This window comes from Homo sapiens, chromosome 3 (assembly GCF_000001405.40).
Source record: "Homo sapiens chromosome 3, GRCh38.p14 Primary Assembly".
Classification (NCBI taxonomy): Eukaryota; Metazoa; Chordata; class Mammalia; order Primates; family Hominidae; genus Homo; species Homo sapiens.
Window position 1 is genome coordinate 45325267 of NC_000003.12, and position 22437 is coordinate 45347703.

At 46.3% G+C, this 22437-nt stretch overlaps 2 long non-coding RNA genes across 4 annotated transcripts in view, besides 1 other annotated feature; one reads left to right on the forward strand and one right to left on the reverse strand.

Annotated features, from left to right (window-relative positions):
* Positions 1 to 12708, forward strand: part of LOC105377061 (uncharacterized) — a 30085-nt gene extending 17377 nt beyond the window's left edge. The window contains exons 3-4 of one of the 2 annotated variants that reach the window (XR_001740679.1): positions 8234 to 8369; positions 12602 to 12708. This is a non-coding gene — a long non-coding RNA (uncharacterized LOC105377061). Of the gene's footprint in view, positions 1 to 8233; positions 9065 to 12601 lie in introns of those variants that run through there. The other variant, XR_001740678.1, reaches the window with a different exon arrangement.
* LOC105377062 (uncharacterized) lies at positions 2567 to 21225 on the reverse strand. Of its 2 annotated transcripts, XR_940797.2 has the most exons (4): positions 21138 to 21225; positions 17586 to 17755; positions 5682 to 5848; positions 2567 to 3130 (listed from the first exon to the last, which is right to left on the reverse strand). It is a non-coding gene; the product is annotated as an uncharacterized LOC105377062 (long non-coding RNA). The 2 variants fall into 2 exon arrangements; XR_940798.2 differs by lacking the exon at positions 5682 to 5848.
* Positions 20724 to 21249: an enhancer, noted in NCBI's record as "NANOG hESC enhancer chr3:45387482-45388007 (GRCh37/hg19 assembly coordinates)". NCBI's record gives its function as "activates a minimal SCP1, AML or CMV promoter by ChIP-STARR-seq in naive H9 embryonic stem cells {active_cell/tissue: H9 hESC(naive)}" and the evidence as "EXISTENCE:reporter gene assay evidence [ECO:0000049][PMID:30033119]".

The window sequence follows — 22437 nt, forward strand, 5'->3', positions numbered from 1 at the left end:
AGTTAGGGCTCAAGTCTTGATTAGATTCATTTTTGGGCAAGAACATAGATTTTTAAAATAATCTTTTTCTGTGATAATAATACCAAGTTCATTGTAGAAAAACTTAGAGAAAAAAAAATGAAGGTAGCCTGTAATCCTGCCATCCTGCCATGCTTATATTAATTTATACATCCACCAGCCATGTATGAGCCTTCTCATTTTGCCAAAACTTCACCAAGCCAGAACTTTCTTTAAAAAAATTTTGAAAGGTAAAAAAAAAAAGATATCTAATTTGAGCTTTTGTACCTATTTAAGGAAACTGAGCATACTTCCATATGTTCATTAGATGTGTTTCTTTGTCATCTAATCTATATTTTTTTCTGTGGACGCAAAGAGTCCTTTATCTATATTAAGAAGAGTAATCCTGTGTCATATATCTTGGAAAATAAAAAGTAATCTTGGATCTACCTGTTGAGAGAACTCTGGGGCAAGGCACAGAGGAAGCCCTTGGCATGCTGCCTGGCACATGGGAGATGCCCAGCACAGGCTGGGTGCACACTGCCCTTGCAGAGGTCTACCCCCAGGTGATCCCAGGAAAGCCCGGGGTCATGCCCCCTCCTGTGGCCACAGGGACCCTGTGATCAACCACCAAGTTGAAGCTCAAAGCTCCTCCTGACCCTGCCTCCCCACCTCCCACTTACTTCATTCCCCTCTCCCCAGCCGCTCCTCGTGGATCCAGCCCCACTTGGATTTGCCCCTTGATTTTCCCTCGGCTGAGCTACAGCACAGAGGAAGGTGCCTACCTTCAAAGAAAGCCTGGCCCAGGCTGGCCCTGGGCATGAGAACATCTCCTGCAGGCTAATTATTTGGTGCCCCATGAGGCTGATTTTTTAAAAGACATCTGTAATAGGAAGTAGATAGAAAGCAATTTCCTATTAAAAAAAAAAAATCAGCATGCAGAAAGAGCTTTTGTCCTTTATGTTCCCAGAGTGGCTTCTCTAAATCTTCCTTCTGTGTTTTCCATGTTGCAGTCACCACTGGCTGGTCTCCCTCCTCCAACCAGACGGTGAATGCCCAGAAAGGGGAGACTTCCTTCAGTGGTCTTAGAGTGCCCAGCACCTGGAGCAGTGTCTGGCACAGAGAAGGCGCTGGGATGAATTACTCACCCTATTTCTCTAAAAGGCTGCAGTAGACACATGAGTGCCAAGAGAGGAGCAAGAAACCCAAACATTACTGATCTCAGGCCACTGTGGACACAGATGCGCAGACCCTGATGGCTTGGGTCCCCATGCACAGGCTGCAGAGGGAAGCCCAGGGACTCCCCCTGCTCCCTTCAACTGTTCCAGGATTTTCATTTTTCCACATCCTAAGTCACATTCAGCTCATCTTGTCATAGATTAACTTTAAAATGTAGCAATTCAGCTTGGAGAGGGAGAGAGAGAGAGGAAAAAGAAGAGAGCTGGAGGGAATCTGAAAGCGGCCTGGGAGTGGAAGGGCCACCATGCTGCCCTGGACACCAGGAACAGGAAATCGGATTTGAGGCAGAGAAGCTGTAGGTGGAAGGGGCTTCAGAGAAGGCTCTAGGCTAGCTCGAGCAGTTTACAACAACCTGATGTAGCTCTTCCCCACCACCTGTATGGTTTAAATCATTTCAGCATTTAAAAAAGAAAACAGCCCTGTTAGAAATCTGCTGTGGGCAAAGAGGAAAACATAGAAAATGATACCAATCATCCATTCTCTATTTTTTCTTTCTCCGGGCCCCATAGTGGCAAGATGCTCTCCTCTTTCTGGGCCCTCGCAGGATAAATGCAACTTCTAGGAATAGGATTCAGCAACCCACCCACCAACGCAATCCAGACGAGAACAATCCGCTCATCCTAACCACTTCCTTGTGTCCCTGTGCAGTTGCTTCTGTCCTCAGGCAGCCACTGATCTGCCTTCTGTCCTTATAGCTTTGCCTTTTCTAGAATCGCACATAAGTGCACTCACATAATACATGATCTTTTGACTTCTTTAACATAATGCTTTTTGATTCTTCTGTGTTGTTCCATGCATTGCTATTTTGTTCCTTTTTATTGACAAGTGGTATTTCACTGCATGCACATTCTACAGTCTGTTTTTCCATTCACATTAATGGACATTTGGGTTGCTCCCAGGTGGATCTGAATAAAACCACTATGAACATTCATGTACACATCTTTGCATGAACATATGTTTTCATTCCTATTAGGCAAATATCTAGAAGTGGAATGTATGGGTCTTATAGTAAGTTTAGGTTTAACTTTAAAAGATCCTGCCACATTGTTTTCCAGAATGGCTGCACCGCTCTGCATTTTGCCTGGCGATGTATGAGAGATCTGGCTGCTCCACATCCTTATCAGCCCTTGGCATTCTCTGTTTATTTTGTTTATTTGTTTTAGCTATTCTCATCGCTGTGTTGTGGTGTATCATTGTGGTTTTACTTGGCATTTCCCCAGTGATGCTGAGCATCTTTTCAAGTGTTTATTGGTAATTTGTATATCTTCATTGGCAAAATGCTCAATATTTTTGCTATTTTTTTGTGTTAGATTGTTTTATTATTGAATTGCATAATGCTTAATATTTGTCAGCTAAATTTCTCTATGAAAATTTTACTCCAGTCTGAGGAGTAAATATCTGATTTCTATCTCAACTGCTTTATCACACTTAAAGAGACAGATTTAATAAGAGAAAAACTCAAAATATGTTTCTATCCAGGTTGTGCTGACCACAACAAAGCTATGTCTGATCTACTGTGCATGTTAAAATGAAAAAAAAATTTGTGATCCGAATCCTAAGTATGGCTAGTGTGACTTTTGTTTCCCTTTTTCATGAAGATAAACATGGAACAATACTTGTCTAGGAAAACACCCATGTATAGGTTGACAACCACTTTTTATTTTCTAACTCAACTAAAGTTAGGTCATCCCAAGCAGAACTTGAATAAATCTATTCTAGACACAAATCCCTTAGCTTCTTGATTCTCTGATGGGTCATTGCTTGGAATGAGAAAATTCTTACCTCAGAAAATTCTTGGCTGGCATTCTTGGAGTTTCTGATTTTTACATAAGGTTCTAAATATTCTGTGGACTCTTCTATACAGTGCGTCTCTGCTTCTGGTTCATCCAATTCTCTACCATGGTGGGACACAGAATAAACCTAGTAAGTTTGGTAATTTAATAGACGTTACCATCTGTAGACTGCTTACCCTATGCCTGGCCCCTGGGACTTTGAGTCCATTGTCTCATTTAACCCTCACTTAAAACCTGAGAAATGGCTGTGATTATTATTCACGTTTACAGGTGGGGAAGCTGAGGGTTACAGAGGAGAAGTAACTAGTCCAAGGCCTCACAGCCAGCAGGGGAAGGGCTAACATTCAGACATCAGAGCCCGTGCAGCTAACCACTCCCCTGAACCATCTCTCATTCTGTGTAGCACAATTACATCGTCTGTTCAGTCAGAACACGGTGGTGCTTGTACAGTGGCCTCCTGGGCTGGACACACAGTCAGGCTCTCCTCTTTCTATTCAACCTCACTCTATTTGGAGAGTCCGAAAGCTAGTACTGTGTTTCCCAGACTGCTTGGCTGGGGATCTGGATGTGAATGAGGTTCTGCCAATGAGATGCTTCAATGCTAGGTTAGAGTTATGGGTTAAATTGTTTTCCTCATAAAGATCTGTTGAAGTTCTAAGGTCAAATACCTGTAAATGTGAATTCCCCTTATTTGGAAATAGGGTCTTTATAGACGTAATCAATTTAAGAACATTTAAGAAGGTGTCATTAGAGAGGACCCCAATCTAATATGACTGGTTTTTTGTTTTTTTTTGTTTTTTTGTTTTTTTTGGAGATAGAGTCTTGCTCTGTCACCCAGGCTGGAGTGCAGTGGCGCAATTGCAGCTCACTGGAGCCTCCGCCTCCCAGGTTCAAGTGATTCTCTTGCCTCAGCCTCCCGAGTAACTGGAACTACAGGTGCATGCCACCACACTTGGCTAAGTTTTGTAGTTTTAGTAGAGATGGTGTTTCCCCATGTTGCCCGCGCTGGTCTTGAATTCCTGACCTTAAGTGATCTGTCTGCCTCGGCCTCCCAAAATGCCGGGATTACAGGCGTGAGCCACCGCACCTGGCTGACTGGTATTCTTATAGGAGGAAAATGCCATGTGGAGACAGACACACAGGGAGAAGAACTCCATGTGACGCAGAGGCAGAGCGTGGAGAGATGCAGGCGGAAGGAGTGCCAAGGATTGCTGGCCACCACCAGAGGCTGGGAAGATGCAAGGAAGGATTCTACCCAGAGTCTCAGACAGAGCATGTCCCTGTGGAAACCTTGATTTCAGACTTCTGGCCCCCAGAACTGTGAGAGAATAAATTTCTGTTGTTTAAGCCATCCAGTGTGTGGTTCTTTGTTTTGGCAGCCACAGAAAACTAATACAGGAAGGGAGACGTGGTGCAGAGAGGGCTGGCAGTTAAGCCCCTTTGGGCATGGGTACTGCCATCACAGCTTCGTGGTGGTGACCTCCTGCCTGTAGACCTCGGCTGTGAGGCTGGATCTTGAAGTCCACAGGCCAGTGGTGCCTCCAGACTTCACTTTCCCACCCCTTCCAACAACATTTGTAAGCACAGTTCCCTGTGTTAAATCCTTTTCTGCTCTATTTCCTGTACTGAACCCTGACTGACACAAACTCACGCTGCTAAATACCAGGTAGACTTAAAAGCGGAGAAGACTCTCATAGGAAACGAGGGCAAGCTAGAATAGAAAGGCAGCTGTGGGGAGGAGGACTTCAAACCTGCCTGGCCCTGCATCCTCCTCTCTCATCTCCAGGTTAAGCATCCTTCTGGCCGGCTGACAGACTGTGTCTCTTGCAGAGCAGACATCCTAAATGTGCCTCACCCCAATTTAGTTTGCAAGCTGTGCTGGATTGTTATGTTGTCAGTGTTTACTCTGGGAAAAACACTGTCCCAAATCCTGTTCCTTGTATAGTGTGGGGTTTGATGTGGCCAACATTGAAGTTCTGCGAGATATGTGAGGCAGAAGCGAAGGCTGGTGCTGGCTGGAGGCACTGAGAGAGGGGCCCACTCATCAGCCCGCACCCTCCTTGCTCCAGTTCTCCCTCCTAACTGCCACACCCGCTGACCAGCAATGGCCCAAGACACTGCCATATGCCTCACTGTGAACTCCGCCTGTGGTTCTCACCTTAGGATAGCTAATTCCTCATTTTATTGTCCCAGAACTAAAGACACTGACTGCCTGCAGTTCCTGCATTCTCTCCGTTTTGTAGGGCTTTGTACACTTCCTCCTGAAATTAGGATACATAGGATAGATTTCATTCCAAGCCTTCATCTTTCCTCTGTTTGCTTCCTGTGATTAATGTAGCTGTGGTGCTTGTCATATTCTGAGGTTGGGTGCACAGGTAGGGGAGGACAAGCAGGGATTTAAGAGTTATTGTTGGCAGCAGGATCCACCTGGTGGTGGTCACAGAGCTCACTGACGCATGTTGTACGTCTCAAGATGCCAAAACCACAAAAAGATTGGAGGGTTAAGAAAACCCCCGATGAGAAACATCCAGGCTCCTCATTCTGCCTGTCTTGATCCTTCTTCTTTATTAGAAGGGGGTTGTTATGGTGATGGAAGAGGGCTGAATTGGAAAGGATTTGTTGTTTTGTTATTATTTATAGACATGGGCATACCTTGTGTGAATCTTTGTGACAATTTTCTTCTTTGAGCTGAGCTTGAGACATATTCCGTTAGCACTGGTGGACACCAGGAGGGAGGAGGAGGTTGTTTTCTAGGATTCCCAGAGCCAGGTCAGCTTCTATCTTCTTGGCATTGCCCAAAGACCCCCAGGGAGCCACAGCTACTAGCAGAGTAGAGAACAGAGAGGACAGATGGCCTGGTGGCAGGGCACTGGCATGTTTTATTTGTCATGTTTTCCATCCACCTCTTGGGCTCTAAAATTTGTGTATTTTTTAGTGAACCTCTGAAGTAGTCATAGCCTTTTGATGGGTACAAACTGCTTTAACTTGCAAAAGAGATACAGAGCCTGGCTGGAGAACTCACTTGCCAGACTTGGGTAATCTGTCCTTAAGGAAATTCCTGGGCTATTAAAATCCTTTCCTAATATTCCAGCCAACACCATGTGTATTTACATATTGGAGAATCCTTGGGAAGTCCTCTCAATAGCTATGGCCACACTTCTGTCTACACCTGAAATCTATGGACCACCCAGCCCGTCTTGCCCTTTGCTTCTGTGACTCAGGAAAGCAATCACATCTCTACAAGCTCTGGGAAGACTCCGCTTACTTCACGCCCACTGCACTTGACTGCCAACATTATCCTTGAAGATGGAGGCTGTAATTATACCAATCACTCTGCCGGATAGACCTGGAGTATCCCCATGATTAATGGAAGAGATTCACTCAAAACACAAGATGTCTCATTTTCTAGTTGGGTGTACAGGCAAAATACTGCAGAAACATAGCCTCCACTGCTCGAGCTAAAATGTCTCAGCGGGTTTCCTTTTGTTCCCAGGCAATTGGAAACAGCAGGAATATCTCCTTAGAACCCAAAACGATATTCAGGATGAGGAGGCATTAGAGGTCTCAGGTGGTTTTCTGAAAGAAGCTTTAAAAATATCTCATTTCAAAAGTCATTTTATATAAGTTCACTGCAGAAAAGTTGGGAATTAAAAATATATATATAAAAGAAACTGAAAGTCATCCATAATCCCACCAGCCACAGATAACCCTTATTGGAATTTTTGAGCACCTATTTCCATGTATTTTCAGTGCATATATATAGTAATGGTTTCCACAAAATATTCTGTTTTCTGACCTTCTTTTTATTTTAGCATACCCAAATTATGATAAATACTGCCAGTGAATACATATGGAGCATTAGTGATGTACCAGGACCAATTTTCCATGGTCTGCTGGAATTACTTCATTCAATCCTTCCAAGTACTAAAGGGAAAGATAAATTTATTTATTTATTTATTTTTGAGACAAAGTCTCACTTTGTTGCCCAGGCTGGAGTGCAGTGGTGCAATCTCTGCCCACTGCAACCTCCAAATCCCAGGTTCAAGTGATTCTCCTGACTCAGTGTCCCAAGTAGCTGGGAGTACAGGCACATGCCACTACATCTGGCTAATTTTTGTATTTTTAGTAGAGACGAGGTTTCACCATGTTGGCCAGGCTGGTCTCAAACCCGTGACCTCAAGTGATCCTCCCACCTCGGCCTCCCAAAGTGCTGGGATTACAGGCGTGAGCTACCATGCCCGGCCAGGAAAGATACTTTTATCTCTTCCATTTTTACAGGTAAGGAAACTGAGGTACAGAGGTGTTAAACAACTTGCCCAAGGTCCTTAGCTAATTACATAATGGAGTTAGGATTCAATCCATGGCAGTCTGGCTGCACACTCATGCTCTTGGCGCCCATCATGCTGTGATCAGGTTTCCAGGGCTAGCTCCCCCCACCCCCGCTTCCCGTGAGCTATTGACCTGAAAAGTCGTTGGTTCTTCCTGTCACAGCCTATGTAGGTCTGGCACCAAGGTATGCTGTGGGGTCCTTTTCTGAGCACCTACTATGTGAAAGGTACTGTGGCTGCAACTTTAACAGGGACTTATCATCAAGAATCCTATCAACAAGAATTCTCAAACGTGGTAAGGAGCCAGACACCAACTTCCTGGCATAGCCAGGGAATTCACAGAAAGACCTCCAAGGGGCAGACACCCTGGAGGCAACTGATAGTGGTGACCTGATGTTAGGGTGACCTGGAAGTCTGCCACAGCCCAGCTTTCAATGCCTAAAAAAGGTGCTGGCTCAGAATAGCTGTGAATCCTGGTGGGGTCAACCTGGGCAGTGGTGTTGCTTGGGATCAGGCAGTGGAAGTACCTGAGAAGTACTGAGAAGCCTATCTGTTGCCATGGTACCCAGACAGCAGGAGGCAACCAGCTCGAGAGAACAGCTTCTGTGCCTTCTGCACCTCCACAGGAAGCACTTTACAGAGGGGAGGACAACCCCCAGGTGGGAGTCGGGGCCTAACTCCAGCCTCAGGACAAGGAGGAGAGATGACATTTCCAGCCATGGTCGGCTCTCATGTAGGAAGGGCTCTGGGAAGGCTGAGCTCTGGCCACACTGCCAGCCTTGGCCAGGGCCACTCGTCATCAGCACCACAGCTGAGTGTTACCTGGGATGGGCTGTGGTGCCACTCCGGTGCCTCCCTCCTTCTTCTATCCTACAGGGACTACCATGAATCCTACTTACCGCACTGGAGAGCTGTGCAGATGGAAGGAAGTGGGAGATGTGGAAACACTTTCAACAACTGAAGCAGCAGGCCAAGAAAAGGTGTCAATAGCTGTGCTTTTGCCCACAAAAAAGTGAGTCTTCTTCATTAATGTATGTCTTGAACATGGAACCCGTCCCCTCCAGGTTGTTGACTGGGCTGTGCCCCCTGTTGTCAGAGAAGTGTCAGTGTCTGGGACCATCTACTGGTGATATTTCCCTGCTCAGAAGAGTCATGACCACAGACCCCAGGCATTTCCTCTTGGCAGGCACTGTGCCCAGAGTTTTAGGAACAGGCTCACTGAGTCCATACATCAGAAGGTAGGTCCTAGGGCCACTCTTGTACAGAAAAGGAAATGAACCTTGGAGAAGCAGGGGCCACACTCGAGGCTGTATGGCTACTGAGGGGCAGAGCCAGATCCCAAACCCCTCACTCCAACATGGTGTGTGACTGTGTCCATCTGTGACACATGCAGCTCCCTTCAGCCTGGAAATGAACCAAAACTTCAAATCCTTTGGGCTTCACTTGGAGCCATTTTGTTCAGGCAGAGATTCTGGGGCCCTGGGAAGTGGTGATATCAGAGGTAGTGGATGGGTTCTGTCTTCACTGGTCCCAGAGTCCAGGTGCTGTGTGTTCCAGTCCCCTCTCAAAGCCCACCAATCTCTCCAAGAAGAGCTCCAGGTGGGAGCTTTGCCTGGCTTAGGGCCATAACTGCAGATCTGAGATTAGCACCTGCCATGCATCCCGTGCTCCATCAACATGCACTGGATGAAGGCTGCAGGCAGGACTCCTGACCCAGCAGTGAAGCTCGTTCTTATTGGTCTTGGCCAGCATTCTCAGCCCCATTCCAGCTCTCTGTTCTAATGAAGTCATTTACATCCCGCTCCAGTTCTACCTCCTCACCTTTGCTTATGACATCCTTCCTATCAGGTATGCACCCCCATCCCCCATCCCCAAGTCCCAGCCCAAATTCTTCCCTGTTAAAACTCCCTGTTAGACAGGCTTTCGTCTCTGCTCAGCTCTTGGCACACCTGTTTGAGGTGTAGGAGCCTCTCCAGAAGAGCCCCTCCCCTCCTGCAGCCCCTCTCCCTCTCCCACTTGCAATTTCATCCTCACCACTTCTTCTTTGTAAGGAACCATTGCATCAAAGCTATTGTATTGTCACGGGAGATAGAAAATTATAAAGGCATTACATTTTTAGAACAATGTTTGTAGAATAAAATTAGCACTAGACATATTTCAGTCCTAGCTTCTTTTTTAAATATGAGATTGTGCATTTCCAAGCCTAATTTTTATATGCCCATTTAAAAATTGCATTTTCCCATGTACTCTCATCGCCACCAGCCCCCTTTCATTATGAGCTCAGGCGAAAGCTGTGGACTCTTACCCACATCACACAGGTTTATTTCACATGACACACGGCTTCACTGAGATAGAGAAGGCCCTGCCTTCATACAGAGACCTAAGTCAAAGCAAAGGGAATAAAATCTAATCCCATGCGTTCATTCAGCACATATTTGCCAAGCATCTACAACATGCCAGGCACTGCTTTGCAGATCCAGCAATGAACCACTGTTCTGTGTAGGGAGCCAGAACCAAGCAGGCAGGTGAGCAGCAGTTAGCATGTGTTAGGTAGGGGAGAGTCAAGGAGAAAACTAACTCGAGTCATGGGAATGGGGAGTACCTGGAATGAGGATGCTAACAGGTGAGGGAAGGCCTTGCTGCAAAAGTGATGTTTGAGCAGAGATCTGAAGGAGCTGAGGAAGCTGATCATGGGGCTCCAGGCACAGGTAGGAGCAGGAGCAAAGGCCCTGAGGTGGGTGTGTGCTTGGCAAGCCAGGCATACTAGAAGGCAGGCGGCCCAGGGCATGGCCCAGGGAGGGCCTGGAGCCCAAGGCTGGACTCTCTGGCAGATCGGAAGGCTGGACTCTCTGGCAGATCGTCGGGGCCTTGTAGATGACTTTAAATGACTTTGGCTTTTGCCCACATCAGCTGGGAAGCCTTTGCAGGATCTTCACTCATGTTTTTAACTTATGTCTTAAAGAAAGACTCTAGCTGTGGGTAGAGCACAGACTCAGGAGCAGGGACAAAGTGGCAGCAGGAAAGCCAGTTTGGAGGCTGTTGTTGGTCTAGTGCTTTAAATGCTTTAGTTACTGCATTTCCTGATGATTTGGATGTGGGATGTCAGAAAGAGAAGACCACGTGATGCCAAAACAATGTTCAAAGTACCCCTGCACACATTATTAGAGTCACTGATAACCCCTGGTGGGGCAAATGGGCAGGGTGTCTCTTTATAGATGGGGAAACTGTGGCCCAGAGAGTAAAGGGGCTTGTCACACATTGCAGGTAAGAAGAGGTTGTGTAGGGGTCAGCATGGGGTTTTCCCAGTGGTGTTTCTCAGGGCTGTGTCACTGGCCACTCTGAGACATTTTATATCACTGTCCTAAGTTTTAAGAGAATCCAGGGAGAGCTGTGCAGGGCAGGAGGGGAGGACCCGGGCTGTGGTCTGAAAAGGGATCTGCACAGGGAGCCGCAAGAAAGGACTGAGCATACCAAAGGCAGGTCTTGGCGGCTGTGGTCAGAGGCTGTCTCTGCCTGGAGCCCGATGACTGGGGCTTCTCCCCATACTGCAGAGGTCCTTCTCCACCCACAGAATGACCACGACATCAGCACTATCCACCCTGTGTCCACGTCCCTCTGGCACAGGACTGTGGAGTAGGGTCTACCTATTAGCGCCCACAGCTCCCAGCTCCCATTCCAGAACCTTCTTCATGGTGGGCACAGCATGATTTGTCCACAACACACAAGTTTCCACTGGCCTTGGGACCAATGGGGAAACCCAGACCCTCTGAGGTAATTCAGGGAGGAAATGGGACAAACATGATACCTGAAGGGGCTCCCCTGCTCCACAAAAAGGTAATTGGCTTTCGACACCTTATCACCCAGCTTATGAGGTGGAGTTCTGGCCAGAAGCAGAAGCCAGCCCTATGGTTCAAGAGACTTCAATGATGGGACTGTTCACAGAGGGTGAGCAGGTGAAGGAAATCCAGAGGCTAGCCACAGTGCGGGGCTGTTGTCACCTCTGGACCTGAAGACTGGAGGAGGAGAAAGAGTTATTCTCAGAGCCTTGAGAGAGCTGGGGCTGTGAGGAGGGGCCACTCCATGGGTGCTGCGGTCATAGGGCCACCACCATGGCTAGAGAAGGGGCCAAACAGAGAAGGCCTCTCTGGCTTCTCTCTCCTCCCCGACACAGGTCTCTGCCAGTGCTTCCCACTGGCTGACTCAACCAGAATCTAGAAGGTGCGGGGACCCCTGGTGATGCAGTCCTTGGGACCAGCCTCCTGGTGCACAAGGCAGGGCAGAGAATGGATGAGGGGAGAGGCCAAGGGAAAATAGCATACCTACAGCTGCCTTAACCCTGGGAGGAAAGTGGACTTAAAAACCACATTGGGGCCGGGCACAGTGGTTCACACCTGTAATCCCAGCACTTTGGGAGGCCGAGGCAGGCGGATCATGAGGTCAGGAGATGGAGACCATCCTGGCTAACACAGTGAAACCCCATCTCTACTAAAAATACAAAAAATTAGCCGGGCATGGTGGTGAGCGCCTGTAGTCCCAGCTACTCGGGAAGCTGAGGCAGGAGAATAGCTTGAACCTGGGAGGCGGAGGTTGCAGTGAGTCGAGATCGCGACACTGCACTCCAGCCTGGGAGACAGAGTGAGACTCCTCCTCCTAAAAAAAAAAAACAAACAAACACACACATTGGTTATTCATTACCACTTTCGACAGATCCATGCTTAAGTTGCAGCTGGAGAAAATCAGTTTTCTGGAAAGAACATCCTGGTAGGAATAATGATCGGGTACTAAAACCCAGATACTGTGAAAGTCAGATTCAGGAGGGCTTTCTAAAACAGAATTCAACAGTCATGGCTTCAGATACTGAGATCTTCCAGAAGGCAGAGGGATAGACTGTAAGGCCCATGAAGTCATTTCCAGCTCTAGTATTAACATACAGGAGTCAGTATTTTCCAAAATGGCCTATATCATTTTGATATAATGGAAATCTACATTATTTTCCAGGAAAAGTATATATATTAGAATAGCAACTGAGACTACTATGTAACCGTTTTCACAGGAAAAATGCACCTTGATAATTGGGATGGTGTAGATAGGTCTTCAAGTCCTTGTAAATTCTAAATAATTAGGATGTTTTAAAACCAAAAGGAATTCATTGTAAACTGTAATTAAATATTCCTTCTTAATTTAAATATTATTTCTTAAAAATTAATGCGTTCTAATTCCTCTTTTTCCCCATCTAAAATCTAGGTTTCCACGGAAGACCAGCTGGCCTTCTAATTTGAGCAGAATTTGCAACCGATTATAAAGTCAAAGATCAATGTTTAACAAAAATCAAGTCAGCCTGGAAATCTTTTATTCTCCTGAGCTGTGTAGGCGGCTTTTCTGATAGGGAACGCTCACTCTGCGTTGGCGTTTTGGAGGTGTTCTGCATTTGAAAAGCACCCTGCAATCTGCTTTCCCCCCCAACACCCAGGCAAAGTTGACGGCATTTTCCCCTCAGTCCTTTCTATTAGTGCCGCAGGACAAAGGTTGGTCACAAAGCTCCAGATTCACTATATCCATCCAGCTCTGCCAAATGCAGATCACAGTTTAACAATCTAACTTCTCGAGAGAGGTCTGCACTCCAGGCCCTGTGCTAAATGGGGAGGAACAGAAATGAATAACGTATGGTCTTGGCACCGAGGACTTAGAATTGTGGAGGCAGAAACAGACACACAAACAAAAACATATGACAGTATTATGGGAGCCACCAGGAACAGCTGTTGGAATCCAGTTGGGCACAAGGAAGGGAATGGTCCCTTCTCCTCAGTGTTATTCAGCTGGCTGTAAGTCGTGGGGCTTTCCAAAGGATGGAAAAGAGGGATCTGGGACCAGCATCTCAACACACGCACTTTGTACCAAAGCTCCCAGCCCACCCACCTTTTCCCAGGCATCTCTGCTTCCTGAGGTTTCTCTGGCACCTCTATTACTGTGTTATCTCCAGGTTTCGGGGTCTGCTCACCCAAACCCTAGAAAGAAAAGCCCAGTACTTTCTGTGAAAGCCAGGTAGTGATGTAGAAAGTATCTACTCTCTCAACAGCAGGTACCCAAAACCCTCGTAGAGAAGCCAGCCTGGGGAAATACAATGATAAACTTCTTAAAGGCAGAGAGGGGAGGTTACAGGGTAAGAACCCAAAGGTAATGGTTAATGAGAGAGTAAAAGGAAGTTGTTGTGCTCCTGAGAGGAAGAAGGAAAGAGAAAGGAGGCAAAGGCACAGAGAAGTGGAGAGAAGCTGGAGGGTTACTGAGAGGGTGGGTCCCTGGGGTGAAGGTCACAGAAATGACCCACACTGGGGGCCAAAAGGAATTTCTAAGAATGAGGACGTCTGGCAGCCAATTGTAAGTCATAAACCCTTCTTCACATGCCATCACCATCACTCTCCCAATATGCATGCTCATGTGCACACACATTTTAGAGAAGACACTATACTCAGTAATACTTGGAGGTCTTTTGGTCAAAAACAAAGTGCTGAGCCTCGTGCCTGGGTGAATGCCCTTTGGCACAGAGATGGGGGCTAGATGCAGGGGCAGGTCCAAATTTCGTGGAATCTGAAGCTCAGTCTGGTGAGATCCTCTTAAGGGAAAAGAATATTAAAATATTGCAAATTGGACAAAACAACACAACTACATGAACACTTTGCTGGGGACCTCCCACAAGTAAGTGCCTTGAGTTGAAGCTTCATTAGCTTCCCTAGAAATCTTCCCATGTCTGGGAAGACATGACCATGGAAAAGCCAGACCCCACTTGGAAATCCTCAGAAAACTTGGAAGGGGCCTTTGGGCTTCCACAGGCTGTGCAGTGGGGGAGTTGAGTCAAGCTGATCTAGATTGTAGGGGCTGGCTGGATGTGACTTGACAACAGGGCTATAATCACTTTCCTAATCTCAGGAACAAAGTGTAATCTCAGAAGAGGAGAGACCAGGGCTGAAGGAAATGCTAAAGGCAGTGCAGTCAGATGCAGAGGATGATCCTGAGAACTGGTGTTCCCGAAGGGATGAGGGGAAGAGTGACCACAGGCCTGCGGGGTGATATGAGCCTACTTTTTAAAAGCTCTTAAAGTCTTATTAGAAAATTGTGATGGAGAGCTCCCCTGCCCTCTCCGCCCTCCTAGCACATGCAGTAAAATCTTTCCTCCACTCTGATTACCCTCATTTTGGAGCTCAGAAAGAAGCTAATCAGAGGGCTAACATTGGAGAAGCTACTTCAAACGCAATTTAGAATTCAGCATGATGAAGGGAGTCATCGGGTGTGTGATTGTAAAGAAGTATTTCAAAGTAATTAAGGCATGAAGGTGCAGGGCTCAGTATCTGGGGTGGAGAGGTGGATAGGGTCGGGAGAAACAGGCCAGTTCACCACCACTATCAGCTCCCAATAGTGGAGAAAGAGGGATGGATGCCAGCCAGCAAGCAAACAGCAGTCGTGCATCACACCCAGTCACCTCTTACTACATTTGCAAATGTATCTTTCATTCCTGGTACCCTCCTCCAGACACTCTTGCACTCCCAACTTCCTTCTATTTTCAATGCAAAGTATCATTTTGGTGGCTATTGCTATTTAAGAAAAAAAAAAGCAAGAAAAAGGGAAGCTTTATGCTCCTTAGTGCTTGTGAGAGGGAAACATTTTACCTATGTTTTATAATGGGGCCAAGCAAATTTGGTCAAGATGGAACCCTTAATGTAATGGCCTCTTGCTGTGTCAGCATCAGTTTGAAGAAGAGGGAACCTGCCTGTGCCTGCACCTAACAGGAGGCCAGTCTGGCTCAACCCCATACTTTATGGGTGAAACACAGGTCCGAGAGGTTCAGCGCCATGCTGAAGGTCACACAGCAGTTTAGACGCAGGAGCAACACTACCTCCTTCCATTAAATAATCTAGGTCTTTGGAGCTTCAAGTGCCTGTTGGAGAGTGGGACCCTTTTCTTATCTGTCAGGCTCAGCATCACCTCATCATGGATGATAATGTGAATGGCACCTCCTGGAATGTACCCCATGGCAGCTGAATCCCAGACCTCTGAGATGGGCTCTGGGCCTCGGCCCCTTGCAGATAGGGAGCACAGGCTACCTGTACTTGAGGTCTGCACACAGGAGAGCCGGTGCCACGCTGGGGAGTCTGCAGTCAGATGTGGCTCTCTTGACAGTCAGTACCTGCCCCTTAGGGTTTAAAAAATGAAAAAAAAAAAAAAAAGAAAAAGAAAAGGAAAGAGAAATCCCTCCAATCTCTGATCTTACAGAATAAGGCCAATTCCTCGTTTTGATAGAATCAAAACCTAAATCCATCTTTCCAAGAGACCAAAGGAAGAGACAAAGTTCAATAGATGTTTTTTCTTAAACAGTTGGATCCTATTTGAAAAGGAAAGGGTTTCTCTCTGAAGCTGAGAGACAGTAAAATGAGCATCCCTGCAGCATCAAGACTTCAGAAGTGTGGTTTGTCCTGTCCCCATCCACCTAGAGGCCGAGGGAAGCTGGAGTGTGTCAGGGTGTGGCTGACAGGACATTTGAACAGGGGATGCAGAACTGGAAGAGATGGTAAGTTTCTAGAAGCACTGGGAGTCTCCTGATGTCCAGTGACTTCCAAATTGCACCCTTTGGTTTCAAGGAAGGCAGAGCACAATGAGCAGCTCTAATCAAAGCTGGTTCTGTGATGAGCCTCCCAGCCCCATCTAAAATCACTGGGTTTAATTGTCTTGCTCTAAAGTACATGGATTCTAAACCCAGAGACCTCATTTTACCTTTATTACATTTCTAGGCTCTCCTTGCACCTAGGAACAGGCCATTTGAGTCAAAAGCATAGCAAAACTCATCAATCCAAGACCAAAGAGCAAGCAAAACCCATAGTATATTTCACCTGGAATAAAACAACCTGTTGTTTATTCTTAAACCCAGACACACATTGCTTTGCCACCATGTATACCCCATTTTATCCTTCCAATACATTTAGCCAGCAATTGATGGGGATTTTCCAGAGCAATGTTCAAATATCAAATATCTGAGAGGTTGGACATCCTATCCCCAACAGAATAGGGCCTCGCAGCTAGAACAGCCCCTGGCATATAATAGGTGTCTAAAAACATTTGTTGAATGAATGAATGAAAAATTATTTTACTAGGAGATACCCAGAACGAGTCTTGCTGATACCCAAGGAGTGAGTAGGTCATTGCATATTCCCTGACCACCCCTAAAGTGGACACAGTGTGGGCAGGGAAAGGAAATAGTGCCCCAGGTCACTGCCCTGGAGGACCTGACTGTGTAATTTTAGAGGGAAAAATGCACTTGGAAGTTATGTAAGTTAGTAAACTTGCATCAGAAACAGAGCAGTGAGGAGGCAAACGGGGTAGTCCATCTGAAAGAGATGCCATTCACTCATCAGAACTGCTCTGAATGCTTCCTTAAAGCTGGTGGCACACTGGTGGCTGGGGGATGATGACTCCTGAGCTCACCCGCTGTCCTCCCACAGTCTTGAGCCTGGTGAAGTGGAGAGACGGGGAGAGGAATGCCCAGAGACAGAAAAAGTGTAGGTTTTAGACTTGAAAAGATATTGATTTAATTGTGTTTCCCTTAAAATTAAGGTAGAAATTTGATCAAGAATTAAGGAGCAAAAATTCTATTTTTAAGTCCATGAAATTTAGTTTATGAAATCTACTTTTAGAGCCAAGGCAGAGAGTGTAGATTATGTAGTCCACCCCACTACCCCTTTATTATTGGATGTGGAAACAGAAGCTCAGATCAGCCTAGGAGCTGTTTTCCATGTAAGAAAGAGGGTTTATATGCCTCAGGCAAGGAGTTCGCAATCTTTAGACAGTCATATATGATGGGAAGAGCATACAATACGAGAACTATTTTCACTGCGGTCATGGAATTTTATTGACTTTTAAAATTTCATACATCCTTAAAGCTGAACATGAGATTTGTGTGCTTTTTCAAAGTGAGAGTATACACCTGACCCAAGCTTCTTCAAAAGTATCATGGTCAGAAAAGATAGGGAAAGGCCCAGACACTGCCCAGATCAGAGGACACTGGGAGATATAATGACTGAATGTGCCCTGAGCAGTGTACCATGAGGATGTAAGATGTTATTAATACTAGAGGAACTTTGATGAAGGGCCTACAGGAATTTTCTGTACCATCCTTACAACTCTCTTCTATAATTCTCAAATTATCTGAAAATAAAAAGTAATTATCTGAAAATAAAATTACCTGAAGGAGAGTATGATGTGTTAGACTGTATTTTCTACAAATGGTTGCGACAATGTTTCTGGTCCCACATGCTCTCCTAAAGTTTGCCACTCCCTCATCAAGAGGTGGAGCCCATGTTCTCTCTCTTGAATGGGGACAGATTACTTAACTTCTTTGTGTCTCAGTTGCCTCTGTAAAATGGGGAAAAAATACTAGCATTGTTTTTATTATTAAATAAGGGGATATATCAAAGCACTTAGGCCATGCTTGGAAATGTTGGATGTCATTATTATTGCAGGACACAAGTTAGGAACCCAGTTATCAGTACTGGGACACACTAGTCAGAGCTGAACAACAAAAGCAACTTAATACTGAATCCCTGAAGTTTCTTAAATTCCTTCTGCTTCAGGGGATAATTCTTCCTGGGTTGGGGACACCAAGCTTGCCAGGGGGATCTGGCGGGAATGGGATGGAGAAGACAAACACAGAGACCAGAAATGGACATAGCATGTAGTGCACTTGTTTAGGGAAGGAGTAAAACCCCAAAGTCTGGGGTGATCAGGAATGGTGTCAAGGAGATGGTGATCTGAAGTTGGACCTTGAAGGCTGGCTCAGGTGCAGGTGTGCAGAAAGGCAGGCGAAGTTAGCAGAGGTAGAACACGAGGCGTGTTCTCAGGATCTGCCTGACTGTAGGTAGGGGTTCCCACAGATGAGCTCCAGGAGATAGAGTCAGAAAGGTAAATTGGGGCCAGGCCTTGATTGGCTTTGAATGACCTACTCAGGAGTTTGGGTCGCGGAACAACCTAAGCAGAAGACACATTTCAGGAAGTGAAGTCTGGCAAAGGGTGAGCTGGATTGGAGAAAGAGGAGAAGAGAGAGAGAGAGACACCAGGTGGAGGTGAGAATTGACAGGAAGTTGAGAGAGGCTGGGAATGTGGTGACCAATTCCCTGCCTGGTCCTCGCAAGCAAAGAGCAGGCAGTGGTAGGGGTGAGGTACAGTTTTAGTGCTTGGGTACAGTTTTAGTGCTATTTGCCTCAAGTTATCCTTCTTCCTTGATTTTTACCAGTAGACAATGGTAAAAAATAATCTGTACATTTCATCATTTAAAGGCTGATGGACTCTTGCCATGAACTCAAAGATTCCTGTCAATTTCATAAGCACTCCGTAGCCAAACCCTCTTCCTCCAAGGTCACACAATCCATCAAATGGCACAAGGTGGAGCTTATACCTGAGACTGGCCACTCAGGGCACTAAATCAACATACTGATGGTGATTGGTCCAGAGGTTGTCCTTGGACCCCAGTGAGGCCAATCAGAGTCCTTTCCTGGGATTGTAAGGACTTTGTGAGAAAGAGGGACCCCTTGTGGTAGTTTTAACAGAACGCCACAAGTTTTTGATACTTCTCCCTTAGAACTAGAGCCCATGTAGCCCAAGATGCTTCTCTTGAATCTGGGCAGGATTGTAACTGCTTTGACCATAGACTATAACAGAAGTGATGCCATTTGACATTTGAGGCCATGGCCTAAAAGATCTCTGGACTCTGTCTTGTTTGCTGAAACACTTGCTCTTAGAGCCCTGAGCCACCATGTGGAAGAAGAAAGACAGAAAGAATGAGAATAAACCCCCAGTCATTTAAGCCATTCCACTCAAGGTGCCAGACACAGTAAAAAGGCACTTAGGTGATACCACCCCCCAGCCATTTGAGGCTTCCCAGCTGTCAGCTCTTATGAACTGAATGTTTGTAACCGCCCCCAAATTCATACGTTGAAGCCTCAACCCCCAACGTAATGGTATTTGGAGATGGCCCTTTTGGGAGGTGATTCGGGTTAGATGAGGTCCTGAGAGTGGGGCATTCATGATGGGATTAGTGCTCTTATAAGAAGAGCTACCAGATGGCTTTCTCTCCCTCTCCACATGCATGTACTGAGGAAAGCCCATGCGAGGACACAATGAGAAGGTGGCTGTCTACAAGCCAGGAAGAGAGCCCTCACCAGAACTCAGTCAGGCTGACTGCCTGTTGTCAGACTTCCAGCCTCCAGAACTGTGAGAAAATCAATTTCTTTTATTTAAGCCGCCAAGTCTATAGTATTTTGTTATGACAGCCCGAGTAGACTAAGACACCAACTGAGGTCCCAGACATCATGGAGCAGAGACCAGCTATCCCACCATGCCTTGTCCAAATTTTGACCCATGGAATCGACAAACATAATAAACAGCTGATGTTTTATGCCACTAAATTTGAGGATGATTTGTTGTCTTAGTTCAGGCGGCTATAACAAAACAACACAGATGAGGTGACTTAGCACAAATTTACTCACAGTTCTGGAGTCTGGAAGTACAAGATGGAGATGCAGCTGATTCAGTTCTTGGTAAGGGTTCTCTTCCTAGCTTGCAGACAGCCATCTTCTTGCTGCGTGCTTGCATGGCTTTTCTCTTGTGCTCTTTGGAGAGCACAAGCTCTCTAGTATTGCTTCTTATAAGGGCACTAATCCCATCATGCAGGCACCACCCTCATGACTTCATCTAACCCTAATTACCTCCCAAAGGGTCCATCTACAAATATTATCACACTGGGGAATAGGGCTTCAACATATGGATTTGGGGGAAATACACATTTAGTCCATAGCATTTTTTATGCAGCAGTAGATAACTGGAACATCCTCCTTCCAGAGCCTGGGTACTGAGGACCATGTAAGCCTTGAGTTACCAAAGGCCATATCTGCTGAGAAGTGGAGACAGAAACGAGCTGTCAGGGAGCTGGCAATGAAGAGGAGGAGAGACAGATCCAGCCTTCCTTGATGATACTGTTCAAACCTCTGGATCAAGCCAGACCAGATCTCCTCCTCAACTTTTCAGTTACATGTGTCAACAAATTCCTTTTTTTAAAAAAAATTTCTCAAGCCAGTTTGATTTGTCTTATGTCTCTGAAATGTTAACTAGGATAAAGGGATAAAAAGGATTAAAAGAAGGAAGAGAGAAATGGGCGATGGGGGAAATAGGACCAGACCTGTGTCCTATTTTCCACTTAAATGTAAGTGGTATGTATAGCAGATGGTCTTGGTTGCCTGTTTAACATCCACACTCTACCTTCTCTCCTGTTAACAGAATCTCAATATTTTGCAAGTGCCACCTTTACCCACAGAGTTAAATCCAGATTGGTTCTAAGCTCATCAAAGTAGTCCCATGCCCCTTATCAGTGATTGGCTTGAGAGTGAGCATGTGACCAAGTTCCTCCAATGAGAGAGGTGGTCTCTGGGAGGAGCCTCTGGGAAAGACGTCCTCCTCTCAATAAGAAGACTGAAATGGGCCCTCTCCATCTCTGAACAGTGTCTACTGGGATGTGACACCTGGAATGGCCACAGACACTTTGTGACCATAATGTGCCACTGAGCAGAATAACTAGCAGAGAAAGAACCTGAGCCTTTGATGATATAAATCTGTTGATTGTCCTTGCCTGAGGCATACCCTCTTCTGCCCTTTGTTATGTGAAATGACAAACCAGTGTGAATGGCGGTCTTCAGCTACTTGCAGCCCTGACGTTGCAGAACCTGAGGGAAGCTGACTCACTCACCTTATTTTACTGAGGAAGGAACTAAGGCCCAAAGGGACAGCTGGGTGTTCAGGCCACACAGCTAACTCGTGGCAGTGTGAGACAAGAGCCTTACTTCCCTTCTGTTAACACAGGCCTCATCCTATCATACTGCTGGTTCTAGAATCTTCCAGGTCATTGTACTGCCCCCCCCATCTCCATCCCTACCCCAACAATTAGTCCAGAGCCTTCTTTTTTTTTTTTTTTTTTTTTTTTAGACGGAGTCTCACTCTGTTGCCCAGGCTGGAGTGCGGTGGCGCAATCTCGGCTCACTGCAAGCTCCACCTCCCGGGTTCATGCCATTCTCCTGCCTCAGCCTCCTGAGTAGCTGGGACTACAGGTGCCCACCACCACGCCCAGCTAACTTTTTGTATTTTTAGTAAAGATGGGGGTTTCACCATGTTAGCCAGGATGGTCTCCATCTCCTGACCTCATGATCTGCCAGCCTTGGCCTCCCAAGGTGCTGGGATTACAGGCGTGAGCCACCGCTCCCGGCCAAGCCCAGAGCCTTCTGTAGTCAGATGTATCTAGGGAAACTCATCTGATTTGAATCCAGCAGGCAATATTCCATCTAATTAAGCAATTAGGAGCAGGAAGGCAACATCTCTGGAGCCTACCTGAGTTCTGTAATGAGCCTTTATAAACCACACTGGTTGTTGTGACAGATGCTGGGGTCTGCCGAGATCTCTGGACGCAGAGTTTTGCTGAGTCCCAGTGGGGGCTGTGGCTGTGGCTGTTTATAGAATCTGAGGTCTGCATTTGGATAATTACCTCCATGTGATTATCAGATTAATGTTACCTGGGCTAGAAGGTGTTTTTGCTTAAGGGAAGAAAAACAAAACCCTTTGAGGATGCCCAGTGATTGTGAACTTGAAAAGAGCCTGATCCTTAAAAGGTAGTGAACCAGTGTGGTGAGGCCAGACTACAGCCCCACAGTCAAGGCCAGCAGGTGTGCCATAGACACACAGGCCAGCAAACATACATGCCAAGAAAGTGTGTCTGTCGATGAGGTAGGGAAGAGCCTGAATGAAAATGTGTTCATTTTCCTACTTCCCTCACACACGCATACACTTAAACACACCCACACACATGCACTGCAAATTCACTGAGAAGCAGGGAGCAGCAGGGCTTCTGATCAGCACCCTCTAACACAGGTGACTTCTGTCAGGAAAGATTCAGGCTGGAAAATTCAGGAAGAGGACAGCTTGGGAAAAGGCTGGTCCCAATAGGAGCTACTTCCATCTTGGACACTGGAGCCACTGCTGTTGTTGTTACCTAAGGG